The 14,364-nt window shown below is 37.9% G+C and overlaps 1 protein-coding gene across 1 annotated transcript in view, besides 1 other annotated feature; it reads left to right on the top strand.

Moving 5' to 3' along the window:
• SLC26A4 (solute carrier family 26 member 4) overlaps nucleotides 1–14,037 on the top strand; it is a 56,982-nt gene extending 42,945 nt beyond the window's left edge. The window contains exons 18-21 of the mRNA NM_000441.2: nucleotides 559–613; nucleotides 6,282–6,427; nucleotides 8,767–8,850; nucleotides 11,651–14,037. Of these exons, the coding sequence (NP_000432.1) occupies nucleotides 559–613; nucleotides 6,282–6,427; nucleotides 8,767–8,850; nucleotides 11,651–11,674 (309 nt within the window). The 3' untranslated portion in view covers nucleotides 11,675–14,037. The remainder of the gene's footprint in view (nucleotides 1–558; nucleotides 614–6,281; nucleotides 6,428–8,766; nucleotides 8,851–11,650) is intronic.
• Nucleotides 6,092–6,386: a silencer, noted in NCBI's record as "tiled region #3291; HepG2 Repressive DNase matched - State 9:DNaseU". NCBI's record gives its function as "represses a minimal TATA promoter and a strong SV40 promoter by Sharpr-MPRA in HepG2 cells {active_cell/tissue: HepG2}" and the evidence as "EXISTENCE:reporter gene assay evidence [ECO:0000049][PMID:27701403]".

A 14,364-nucleotide genomic window follows, 5' to 3' on the forward strand; every position in this document is an offset into this window, starting at 1 on the left:
ATGGGTCTTGTGTCTTGACTTTTTAAAATTAAATGTTTATTTTGACATAATTGTAAATTCACATGTAGTTGTAAGGAATAATATTTAGATCCTATATACCCCTTACCCAGTTTCTCCCAATGAGTAACATCTTGTAAAACTGTAGCATAAAATCACAGTAGGACACTGACATTCAAAATAGAGGCCTTGACTTTTAGGTCAATAGTAACATTTTGAACCCGATAAGCATAGCCACACCCATATCTCTTCTCCAATCAGCAGGGCCTATATTAAGAAGCCTCCTGTACTCTCTTCTTTCCACAAATGCTTATTTAGCACCTCCACGCTATCAAGTGCTGTGCTATTGAGCGCTGGATGTTGCCATCTCTTGAGATATAATCCTAATTATACCATTACTGTAGTTTGAAAACCTCCATGGTTTTGCAATAATAACCTTTCCTTAAAGTCCTGATTAACCATGAAAGTAATAATGTTTCTCCTGAGCAAGTAACTGAATGCTACTGAATTATGGGCAGATAAGGTTGTTAATTGTTACAAACTCTCCTTTTTTATTTTTAGATTGTCAAAGAATTCCAAAGAATTGATGTGAATGTGTATTTTGCATCACTTCAAGGTAAATACATATATCTACATATCTACCTGTAAGACTTTCCCGTAAGCCCTTTCTCCTATCTGGGACTGTGGTCACATTATGTCTGAAGGCCTTTTTTTTTTTTCTTTTAAAGATCTCAATTGTCATTATTTGCAGTTCTGGAATCTGGCACTGCTTCATTCCATAAAACAGAATAAGTGTTCCAAGGAACTAAGCAGGAGTTCAGTATTATACACAGAAAAGGCCAAAGACAGCAAAAGCAAGCAACAAAGAGTATATTAGTCCATTCAAAGTTACTTTCTTGTAAGTCAGAGACAGTGAGACAGAACAATAGGAAAATAATGGATTAGTTAACATGAGGTCATGTCAGGATACTTTTTTGTATGAGGATTATTGCAGAGGAAGCTTTATTATTATGCCAACTGGAAATTTAAACTGTCCTGTTTTAGGAAATTTGCTATTACCTCTCTCTCCTGATTTCTTCAAGTATCAGATAACAATTTAGTTTAGGTTTGATAACTTGAAACTTTAGCATGAGTGACTCCATTTTGATTTTTAGTCTTGTCTGTTGTCGTCTAGTGCGGGAGCTTAGTCTAAAACAATGGCCTTTTATTTTTATTTTTTATTTTACTATGTGCCTGTGCCTTGCATGACCCCAGGATGGGCACAGCTGCTTGGCCCCTGAGCCACCGAAGGCTGCTCTACTCCTTCGTTCTGGCTACTAAAAGCTGCAAAGCTCTGGGAGGGCAAAGCTCAAGAAGACTAAAACAATGGCCTTTACCATTTTTGTTTGATGATTTTCCCCGTTTTGATCAGGCTCTCACCTAGGTAAGAGTGAACAAAATGTAGGAGATCAGTGCTACTCTGTTACCATCATTTTGGGTTTCTGGTCTCAGGAGGTCATGTGTAGCTTATGGTGCCCTCCTCATTATCATGTATGTCTCTGAGTTTTTGTTGTTTCAGAGAGAGACCATTCGATGTCTGACAGGTGGCTTTTTGGAAACATTTAAAACTTTGAGAGGGTATAATGTACCAGGAAGACTGCTATTATGACTATCAGGGAGATAATACCAAGGGTTTATAGTATGCTCCTTAGCCAGGATTCTCATGAATCAAACCAACTAAAATTGAATAGCCTGACAAGGAGACTACCTGTTTTAACCAAGAAGTCTTCTCTGTAGTACCTGATGTATTTATATATGTGGAACAAGAAGTGTCACCCAACTGCACAGATGCTTCCTTGTTGAGTTAGCAGGTAATCTAGCATTCCATGACTGGTTAAATTAAAGCAGAAAGTGTAAGTTACCCAAAGAAGCTACTCATTGTGAAGTTTTAACTACAGCACTATCCTGCCAAGTGAAAGAGGTAGGCACAAGTAAGGGAAAATTAAAAGGGATAAGCATCTTATGATAGGGAGTCTTGTTCTGACAGTCTTGGAGCTGTCTACAGCATGAAGTTGACAACTTCTTGTTTTGGTTTGTAGTTTTATTGTCTCTAGTTGTGGCATCCAGCATTCTGGCGAACTCTCTATGTGGCCCACAGTTTAAGCATGAGATTCATCTCTTGAAATTTACACTGAGTTGCTCAGCTTCAGCTTACAGAGCTTCAGGAACTGAGTAGTTCTTGGTCTTCATTGGAGTGTTGTAGCCAGATATTAGTGAAAGCTAAAAGAATTAAGAATCCAGCTCAGTCTACAGGTAGATAATAAAAACTCATAAATATTGAACAGGGCTACAGTCTAAGAACAGTTTTACTATGCTTTTCTTTTGAACCATATGTTTTTCTTTCTATAGTCACCTCCATTTCTATCAAAGACGATCATGGTAGACCAATTTGTTTACAAAATAAGTTTGGTCTCAAACTTGGCCTGATTGATTATTTACACAGTACAGCAAGAATAACTACATAGGTGACTCCTTTCAAATTTGCTTTGCCAAGCCTGGCGAGGTATTGCTTGCCTGTGAGCCCAGCTACTTGGGAGGCTGAGGTGAGAGGATTGCTTGAGCCCAGGAATTCAAGGCTGCAGTGCACTATGATTGTGCCTGTGAATAGCCACTGCACTATAGCCTGGACAACACAGTGAGACCATGTCTCCAAAAAATAATTGCTTTGATAGAAATTTTGACAAGGAATCTCAGATTGGACTTTTTAAAACGTCTTGATGCTATGAAGTCAAACCAAGGCAGACATTAGGCTTTGCCTGATGTATCTAATATCTTGAAGTTACTGGGCCTCCCAGGAAGGAACGACTTTTTATTCACTCATTGTAAGGCTAGCAGCCCTTGAAGCCAGGAATTCTGTGCACATTTTCAAATATGATATTCTATTCAAAGCCTTGATAATATAACCAATGTTTTCCAATTGTATTCTATTTAAAAGAACAGATTCTATTGAACTTTCATGTAAATAATCATATTGCCATAAAAATAAGAATACTCACAAAGAGTTTCCAAATTCTGGAAGGATCAGGTAGAGAGGAAAAGCAAATGTTTCAATTTTTGTTTATGAAAGTATGCTTAACAAGGCTGGGTGCGGTGGCTCACATCTGTAATCCCAGCACTTTGGGAAGCCAAGGCGGACAATTGCTTTGAGCTCAGAGTTTGAGACCAGCCTGGCAACATGGCAAAACGCCGTTACTACAAAAAATACAAAAAATTAGCTGGGCATGGAGCCTGAGGCTGAGAATCACTTGAGCTGGGGAAGTGGAGGTAGCAGTGAGCCCAGATGGTGCCACTGCACTCCAACCTGGGTGACAGAGTGAGACCCTGTCTCAAAAAATAAAAAAAAAGTATGCTTAACCAAGTGGCTGTAAACTGCAGATAGCTTTAAAGAAAAATTTTCTTTAGATCTGGAAAACAAATATTAAAAGAACCAGCAATGTTTCAAATAAAAAAGCCATAAAACCTGTAATTCTTCTCCATCAGTTCATTCAGTCTCATGTAATTAATTCTTGCTCTGTTTGATCTTGGCTGGTAGTTTAATTCCAACGAATGGTATGAATTCAAAGTTATTAGAAACCTGTATTTGTCAGAGTTCTTTTCATTCTTCCCATATAACTCTTTGAAGTCACAGCACTTTAGAATTATAATGGCTTACAAAGAGCTTTCAGAAAAAGTATCAGAACAAAACAATTAACTGTGGACAACAAGACTTAAAGTGGCTATATTTAAAGATCTGATGTGAGTTACCCAATTGACAAGGATATTTGGATATTTCTGTGGCACACAACAATTTAAAATAACCAAAATTATGACTGGTAGCATTTATACCAAGACCTATCACATTTCTAGGAATGTTATATAATTTTGGAACATATTAATAACATATCTATAAAAATATAGCACAAAGAAAGTTAAACATCATTTCTTATTTTAACAGTGCTTCCCATATAATTTAACCTATCAGATAAGGCCATTTGGTTTAACATCTCTCTTTTACAGATTCTTTAAGAAATTCCAGGGTCCTCTGGAACATCCCAAAGTTAGTTCAAGGTCAAAAAGACTTAATTTTGATTTTTGAGAAGTTTGTCAAATACCAAAGGTTTAAAACATTTGATCAAAATCGGATCATAGGTCACTATGAAATAAAACCAAAGTGAAAAAAGAGTTCAAAGGCAAAAAGCACAAGAAGAGTTATATTGATGAAACATGAAATCTCTGTTTTCTAGGCCAGTTACCTGGAAGAGAAAATCCTCTCACAATTTTCTATTAAGAGTAAACCAATCCTCTGAGAAAACTCTATTGTTCCAACACATAGGCCCACACTTTAGCCTTCCATCAGTGTACTTTAATATTAATGCTCAATTTTTAGAAAAACTTATAAATAATTCCCTTCTACTTTTAGCCAACTCAATCACATAAAATTTTTCATGATATTTATCTTCTACAAACCTTCTACAACTTGCTTAAACCTTCATTTGGTCCTATACTTCCTTTTTTAAAATTGGCATTGTACCTTAGGACAAAGATTTACTTTTCTTTTCTCCTTATCATTTTGACCATATAAGGTTATCTCCTATACAAAAGAAAAAATTACTCTCTTTTCAATTTTCTTTATCTCTTCATACTTGTAAATTTCTTCTCACATCTTTCCTACCTAGTGGTTCCTTCCTGCCTTGTTTTGATTTCCTTCATAAGTCCATATTTAGAAACAACCTTTAAATAACCTCTGATTGCCAAGCTAGAGTTAAGTTTTAAATAAATAAATAGGCCGGTCATGGCGGCTCACATCTGTAATCCCAGCACTTTGGGAGGCAAAGGTCAGAGGATCACTTCAGGCCAGGAGTTTGAGACCAGCCTGAGCAACATGGTGAGACCCCGTCTCTATTATTTTTTTTTTAAAAAACAAAAAGCATAAAAACTCTGAGAACATTTTGAACCCAGAAAGATATTACTTCCAATTTGTGCCACAGAGCTGGTAATGTATGGAAATGTGTATCTTGACAGTGGGTGGGGGTGGGGTGAATATTGACAATGGGGGGATGTTGTTATGAGGAGAGCAAAGCTGGAGATTACTTAGATTCCTTAGAACAGGAGGACTCTCAAGGGTGTGAGTCTCTGTGTGTTTCTTTATGAATGTATGTGTGTAGGAAAGTGCTAAGGCTTAGGTTGAATTCTTTAGCAGCAGAGCCCAAGATGGGGATTCTTGCACAAGCGATTTATTGAGAATACATCTGAGGAAATTTATGAAGCAGTGAGGGGAGCAGGATAGGGAAGGGGAAGAAGCTGATCAAAGACATGGTTTCTGAAGTCCAGCGTAGATCCCTGATTTCACAGGGAGCACCACCACAGGAAGAGTACCAGAAGGTTATGCCTCCTTGAGGCAAGAGGACCTGCTTTCTCCCCCAGTAATGAGTCAGTCAGTGGCTGCAGGCCAGCCATGTGTGGGGATGAAACCTCCCAGTTCTCTTTATTTACTTATTTATTTGAGACAGGGTCTTGCTCTGTCACCCAGGCTGGAGTGCAGTGGTGCAACTGTGGCTCACTGCAGCCTCAAACTCCTGGGCTCAAGTGATCCTCCCATCTCAGCCTCCTGAGTAGCTGAGACTATAGGTGCACAACCACACCTGGCTAATTTTTGTATTTTTTTATAAAGATGGGGTTTCACCATATTGCCCAGAAGTTCTGGGTTCAAAGTGATCTGCCCTCCTCGGCCTCTCAAAGTGCTGGAATTACAGACCCAGTCCTCTTTAGATGACACAGCTCCCAACGGGCAAGGGAAAGTCTCCAGAGAAGGGCACAGCTGTGAAACATTGGCAGCCTGGCCCACAGCAGCAGGAGGATGGATACACTGGCTTGGCCAAAGGGACGTGATCGTCCACAAGGTTGACTACGACCAGTTATGGGATAACCATTCTATATACTACTGGAAAAGAAACTGTCATTTCAAATCTGGGTCACATTTTGGATAAGAGAAAAATAAATAAATAAAAGGAGGAGCTACAAAAACTTAGTATAGGTTGATGCTTTAAAATTTCTTTTCTTAGCTGGGCATGGTAGGGTGTGCCCTGTAGTCCTAGCTAATTGGGAGGGTGAGGTGGGGGGATCACTTGAACTTGGGACGCGGAGGTTGCAGTGAGCAATGATGCCACTGCACTCCAGCCTGGGCAATAGAATGAGACTCTGTCTCAAAAACAAACAAAAATTTCTTTTCCTAGGAACTAACAAAACATTGTGTCTTTCTTTTGAAGATTATGTGATAGAAAAGCTGGAGCAATGCGGGTTCTTTGACGACAACATTAGAAAGGACACATTCTTTTTGACGGTCCATGATGCTATACTCTATCTACAGAACCAAGTGAAATCTCAAGAGGGTCAAGGTTCCATTTTAGAAACGGTAAATATTCAACCTTTCTACAGATGTATCTTTTCTAAACTATCATGATTTCTATAAATGGCAAACATTACACAAGTCTAGTCTAGCTGTTGAATTTTAAGCTACCTATATAACTTCATGGAGCCTCAGTTTTTTCATCAGTAAAATGGAAGTAAAAACATTAACCTTGCTAGGTAGATATGAAGACTAAATAAGATAGTTTATAGGAAATTACCTGGTAGTACCCAGTACTGAATAGTTCTACAATGTGTAGGTTTATTAATAAAAGTGGGCATTAGCTATAATGCCTTTTAAGAATATTGAATCTTGGATCTTTTGTGATCTGGGATTTGTGTACATAAATTCCACTTAAATTCTCAGCAATCTGGAAAACCTTGAATTATAAATGTCTTTAAACAGGATCCACCAGGCCATAAGTGATCTTTGAAAAAGAAATTTAAAAATCAAGCCACAAAGAAGCCCAGGGTTAATTTTTCCCTACAAAATAGAATAGGCCCTGATGGGAGGCCTCATGGCACAACAGTAGCGCATCTGGCTCCAGAATAGGCCCTGATTTCCCATGGGTATTATTTTGTTAATTTTTCTGTCAAATACCCAGAAGAGGTGAGCATTCTGGTCTGGTTCATTGGGCTTGGCCTAATGGTGCTCCTGGTGGTACAAGAATCTCATTTCTCATAGTGAATTTAGGAAACTAAAGCAAATACCTATCAAGATATAATAACAGTAATGATTCCAGTGACATCGTGGATATTTTAAATTGCTTCCCATTTTTCTAAAAGTAGAATAAGTAGATCCTTATTGTAGATTGGCAGTTGATTGAAGAAAACTAACTTAGGAAATGATATTATATTATTCTTTTTAGGCACTGGTAGTGGAGAGATTGTTCTATTTGATGTTCCTTGGTAAAATACTAGTCCTAACTACCAAGCTGTGGATCTTAAATATAAAAAAGGAAAAAAAAAAAAGAGTAAAGCTACAAATCTAAAGAAAAAAAAACTGTTTATCATTGAAAATTCATAAACTTTTTCTATCCAACTTAAAATTCTCTAACCCATAGGTGATAAGAAAGTTGGATCATATGAAGTATCCTTTAAGAGATCCACATTAAAAGTAAAACAGAACCAAGGTATCAAGTTCTTTCTCAACATGAAAGCAGTTATTTTATTTGTTTATACCCATTCTTACTAAGATTTTAGGCTATGAATGTCATAAAAACCACTAACCAAGAGTGTATCTACTAGGTTAGACTCACTCTTGTTTGCAATCAGAGAGGTATTGTGAGTGGCTGGGATGGATTTTTTTGGACCTTAAACAAATAGACTAAGCATAACGGAATGCTTGTATTACATACTTACTGGTCCACTAAAAGTGGGTTGGACATTCCTGGTGGCCTGTGAGATCAAGAGGCTTATATTTCTGTGTCTTCTCAGAGTCTAGCACAAAGCTTTATATGTGATAAGTAGGTGAATGATGATAAACTCCTTCAAGAGGGAGTCCCTCTGTATCAAAGATATTGTGACTGCAATGACACAACCTTCTTCCTATCCCTTTATTTTACCATCACAGGACTATCTCAGGACACAACTTGTAGTTAGACTTATCCTCTACCTTTCCCATTATGTCATACCATTTGCACAGGGACTTAACCCTCTAATTCATTCTCATACTAGCTAAGAGAATTGGGCTATTTGTGAGTTGAAAAGTAGCTAAGTAGCATTTCAAAATGTTATTTTAGCCTGGATATATATTTGGAGTTGCTTTGAAAATGTCCTTTTCCATGCAAAACACAAAGCCAAAATTGTCGTTGGTTTCCTCTGTGTAGAAGATTAAATTACATGCCACCTCTAAACAGTAGAGCTTTTCTGAATAACCAACTTGGTCCATAGACATTGGTTTCCATCTCCAATAGAATTAATTTCCACCCAATTCCATTTGTGGCTGTTTTTTGTCATCAGTGACAAGCTCTTCACTGTGCATTCATTGCACACTCAACGCTGTGCTAAGTGCTCTTAGCTTAGCCATTGAGAGATGCACTATTGACTGCTGAATCATTTAGGCAGAGGGGGTGACTTGTTAAGAGGCATACACTCAAGAGGTTGGGGAAGAGAGCTGAAAAGGAGTTTACACAATGGAGAACTATACCAGTTCACCTTTCAATGTGCAAAAAAATGATATACAAAAAATTTTAGTTGGGAAATATAAAAGAACAATACAGCTGAAGAGGATTCTGAAGTATGTAAAGACAGATGAGAAGCACCAGGAAAGCTTCAAATCATTTTCAGTGGAGCATCAGGTGGGTTGATGCTATTCTATTTCTACCCTGTGTTCTCTTTTTCAAGATCACTCTCATTCAGGATTGTAAAGATACCCTTGAATTAATAGAAACAGAGCTGACGGAAGAAGAACTTGATGTCCAGGATGAGGTATGATCATTTTCTTCTGAAGAAAATATTTGAATTACATTTTGAATAATTAGAGTAATACAAATAGTGAATATATCTGATTAAGAACTGTCAGGGAACATAATTCCCCCAAATGCAGAAAAGATGGCTTCATAGCAGGGAAAAAGAGAAAATAAGAATTCTCCCTTGAAGACATTAAGTACTTGGGGATCTTTTGTCCCAGGCATTTGGGGATGATCAGCAACTGGCAAGAGCCAACACACTGCTCCTGATTTGATACCTACACCTCTGCATACTGCTCTTCTAGAGATGTAAGGCCATGGGGTAGGAAAAAAATGAATAGAGGAAACTTCTAAGCTAGGAACTTTATAAGCCTCAGGAATAGTATGTGAGGAACAGAAACCCTATGACCTTCCTTCATATGACTGATAAAGGCTTTAAAAACACACTCTCCCCACCCTAGACTGATTCTGTGTATTTCAGATGCTCTTGTGACATCAGACTATTCCTAGGAAACTTGTCTGAACTTGTAGCATCTGAGTAAATTTTGCAGCTTCGCCACTGGATAAGAGGTGAACACTGAAGGAAGATCACAGAATTGTAAAAAGTTGAAAGATTTCTTAGAATCAAGTAGTCTAACATTCTAGCCCATGCAGAAATCCTTCCTACACCATCCTTGATGAATGTTCATTCAGCTTTTATGTGAACATTTCCAGACATTGGCCACTAGCGGCTTCTCAAGGGAGTTTGTTACATGGTTGGAAGTCTCTAAATGTTACTTGTGCTTACAGAACTCAATTTGGCCTTTCTGTAGTAACCACCTAGTGAACTGAGATCTGCCTTCCTTAGCAACACAGACCTTCCCACTGAACAGCCCTTCAAATATTTGAGAATAGTTCTCATGTCTCCAGCAGACTCTCTTCCAGTTGAGACTCTTCTAGTTCCTTCTATTCCTTACAAACAAGCAGTCAGTGCTTCTCTGGTCACGATGGGGACACAAAACCCTAAATGCGGCCAGGCCAGCATGGAGATTATTCAACCATGACCTACCTTGATCTCATCAAGATATTCCTATTACTACAGCTTAAAAATGTGTTTCCTTTCATAATAGCAACATCAGAATTTTAGCTTCTATTGAGCAGGGGCCAACTAAAGACTGGGGCATTTTCATACAAGCTATGGTCTAGTAGAGTTCCCTAGTTATATTTATTTAATTGAGCTTTGACCCTAATACAGAACTACACCTATTTCTGCTGGATTTCATCTTGTTGGTTCTTGTTTACTGACATAATTTTGTATTATTATTAGTATTATTATTATTATTATTATTTGTGACTGAGTCTTACTCTGTCACCTGGACTGGAGTGCAGTGGTACAATCTCAGCTCACTGCAATCCCTCCCTCCCAGGTTCAAGAGATTCTCACGTGTGCCTCAGCTTCCCAAGTAGTTGGGATTACAGGCGCTCGCCACCACGTCCAGATAATTTTTTTTTTTTGTATTCTTAGTAGAGACAGGGTTTTGCCATGTTGTCCAGGCTGGTCTTGAACTCCTGACCTCAAGTAATCCACCTGCCTTGCCCTCCCAGATTGCTGGGATTACAGGCATGAGCCACCACATTGGCCAGTTTTGTGTTTTGAATCTAACATCCAGGATATTGTCTACCCCAGTACCCGTTACCTGGTGTCATAATCAAATCTGATAAGCCTGCCTTCTCTGCCTTTTTCTAGGTCTTGAAAAAATGTTGCAAAGAAAACATTCAACCCCCTATAGTGAAATCAGGCAGTAAGGATGACAGGCAGAGATTTCTGTGGAGGAAATACATTGCTAGAGTGAAAATCACAGTACCTGCATCTTGGCCCACCAGCTTAGTGAGCCCAGGAAAGTCATTATCGACCTGAGAAGTCCTTTTAGCTCCAGTAGTTTATGACTCTATGGATATAGGGTGCCTTAGTTTGAGTAAAAACTCATATGTCAACATTAAAACTTAAGACTGCTATATTATAGGATATTTATTGGTTGCCACGTAAAATAATCATTCAGGGAGGGTTTCTATAGATGGTAAAACAATATAGCACAATAGTTTCAAGGGCATGGACTTTAGAACAAGACAGACCTGGGTGCTAGTCCTCATTCTGCTACTTACTGGCTGTGCACCCCAGGGCAAATTACTTATCCTGTCTTCATATTAGTATCTTCATGTAAAGTAGTAATAATACCACAGAGTTGTGAAAATTAAAGGATAAATGTAAAGTAACAAGAGCAGTGCCTTGTACATAGTAAGTGCTCAATAAATAGTAATCATTGCTCTTAAATAAATCCAATTAAAGTGTGATGAATACAGGCCAGGCTCAGTGACTCAAGCCTGTAATCCCAGCACTTTGGGAGGCTGAGGCAGGGGGATCACTTGAGGTCAGGAGTTTGAGACCAGCCTGACTAACATGGTAACCCCCCGACCATCTCTACTAAAAAAAAAAAAAAAAAAATTAGCTGGGTGTGGTGGCAGGCACCTGTAATCCCAGCTACTCGGGAGGCTGAGGCAGGAGAATTGCTTGAACCTGGGAGGCAGAGGTTGCAGTGAGCTGAGATCACGCCACAGCACTCCAGCCTGGGCAACAGTGAGTGAGATTCAGTCTCCAAAAAAAAAAAAAAGTATAATGAATACGAAATGAAGTTTTTACCCTATTTCTATTGTGATGATATACACCTAAGATGAGTAGCAGTAAGCAATCAATACTATAAAAACATATTTATAAAAAAGATAATGCAGACTTAAGGAGAATTCAGTTGTATCAACACTTTGTTTTCCCCTTGCTTCCACAGGCTATGCGTACACTTGCATCCTGAAAGTGGGTTCGGGAGGTCTCTATGAGCAAGGAATACAAGACAAAACTTCCTCAATGCATTGACTATTTCTTCAGACTCAAAACACTCATTCTTTTTTCTATTAAGCCATTGAAAGAGAAGCACTAAGACTGCTTCTAGGCTTTATTTATAAAATAAACACCTTATCCCTAACATGGGCAAAATGGCTAGAATTATTCAGACGATTTGGCAGCGTCCAGGGTAAGCTGGTGTTATAATACGCTGCTGATCTACATCACAGATTTGCTAATAATGTTCACGTGGGCCCTGGCATATCTCTGTTCAGTTAGAGTGAGTGCTGACCCAACAGCCTCTGTGGTCAAGCGAGTCACGAATGATTAATCATAAAGAAAAATCAGTTTTTGACTGACCTGGATATCCATGAGCTGCACTGATCACCATGTAAGGTCACATTTAGTAAATGCTGAAATAAAATGATTAATGCATTTATCAATAAAAGCCTTTGAAAATACTTTGGATAATAAATTGGAGTTTTAAAAATGCAAATTTGCTTAGTATCTAATAATGAAGTGTTATTACATATAGCCGGAATTGAGGATCTCTTTGATCCTGGAAATGGTTTACCTAAAAGCTACAGAACCAGGCCAATATATTTTGAAATATTGATGCAGACAAATGAAATAATAAAGAGATTTTCATGGTTTATAAAAATCTTTTTTGATATGATAATAATCATGATCACAACTGAGATCAAAAAAATATATGACAGATTATTTTGTTTAAAAATGCAGTTTTAATTATCTTAGTCTATAGAAATGATCATTGCATGGAGGCATGTATAGGTATGATCTGTGTAAAATCTGACATAAAAACAGTGCTATTCTGAGTGAAAATTTTTTTGATGTGCTTACATAACCATGGTGATTAAAATGAGTTTATATTTTTTCTCAAAAATTTTAGCAGTGTGTAAAGTAAGTAATCTTTAACTGAACTCTGACCACTTAAAAAAAAATCTAAAAATTGAACTACCTATAGTAGTCTGTGTTTAAAGTGAATTTTTAAAGACAAAGCATTCTAAATGAACTCAATATAAAAACATTCATTTGGAATGTACATACTGAAAAATACAGGTTTTTTTGACCAAAAGTTTTTATATCTTTTCTTTTTATTTATTTTTTTCCTAAGTGCCAACAATTTTCTAGATATTATATACAACACAGGCTTTGATCTTGGGGACTTTTCCCATATATTTCACACTGGAGTGAATGAAGTTGTACTTCATTTCTAGAGAAAAGTTATACCCAGGTCCCCAATTGAGAATGTCTTGCTTGATTGAAAACGACATCATCCCTTGGTATACTCCAGGGATTGGTTTCAGGACCCCTGCATTTACCAAAATTTGTGCACACTCAAGTCCTGCAGTCACCCCTGCCTAAAGATAGAATGGCTTCTCTGTTTTTCTTCTGAAATACAACCAGAAACAATGTGTCTATTTCTGAAAGAATAGGATTAATGATCATACAAATGGGTTAATCCTGAATTCTGGTTGTAAATCTGGTTACAGCATAACTAGGATTATAATGCTGCCTCATTTTCACAGCACTACTTGCTTATATTGACAACAAATCATCTCGCTAAAGAGTGAATGTAGGCCAGGCGCGGTGGCTCATGCCTGTAATCCCAGCACTTTGGGAGGCCGAGGCGGGTGGATCACGAGGTCAGGAGATCGAGACCATCCTGGCTAACATGGTAAAACCCCGTCTCTACTAAAAATAGAAAAAAAGAAATTAGCCTAGCGTGGTGGCTGGCGGGCGCCTGTAGTCCCAGCTATTTGGGAGGCTAAGGCAGGAGAATGGCGTGAACCCGGGAGGCGGAGCTTGCAGTGAGCCGAGGTCGTGCCACTGCACTCCAGCCTGGGCGACAGAGCAAGACTCCGTCTCAAAAAAAAAAAAAAAAAAAAAAAAAGAGTGAATGTAATAGTCTTGCAGAAAATGAATGAATACCTTTGTTCAATAAAGGAAATATGCACTGCTCACTTTTTTGAAGGAAATGCCAAAGTTACGTTTTACAACAAGGCTAGAGTTTGTAAATTCTGGGTTCATTTGTGATGACATAAGTCAGCAAACTGCGGGAATACTGTCTCTTCTATGTATTTTGTGAATAGTAAGCATAATTTTAGTTTTGTATTATCAATGAAAATTTCACTTGAAATTAAAGCTGCCTTTTGTTATATTTTTAACCTATAGGATAAGATTCCAGTATTGTATATGAGTTTTAACAAATTAAAAAATCAAATCATGTACATTTGAAAATATTTGCACACATTTAAAAATAAATGTAAAGTTGTCTTTTAAACTACTCGGATGTGTCCTTTCTGAACAAAACTATTAAATATAATAAAGAATGTGCCAGGAGCAGTGGTGCATGCCCTTGTAGTCTCAGCTACTTGGAAGCCTGAGGTGGAAGGGTCCCTTGAGCCCAGGAGTTAGAGTCTCAGCCTGGGCAACACAGCAAGACCCTGTTTCTATAAATAAATAAATAAAATATAATAAAAATACTTCATTCTAAGTTTGTCATTGCTCTTATCAGTCATCATTATGAGGCATTCTTTATAGCACCACTTCTGTTTATAATTCCTTTGTGTAGATTTATCAGTGCAATAAACAACATTACTCACAAATATCACAGTTAAACCTTGTGATTCTTATCCA

Source organism: Homo sapiens, chromosome 7, assembly GCF_000001405.40.
Source record: "Homo sapiens chromosome 7, GRCh38.p14 Primary Assembly".
NCBI lineage: Eukaryota > Metazoa > Chordata > Mammalia > Primates > Hominidae > Homo > Homo sapiens.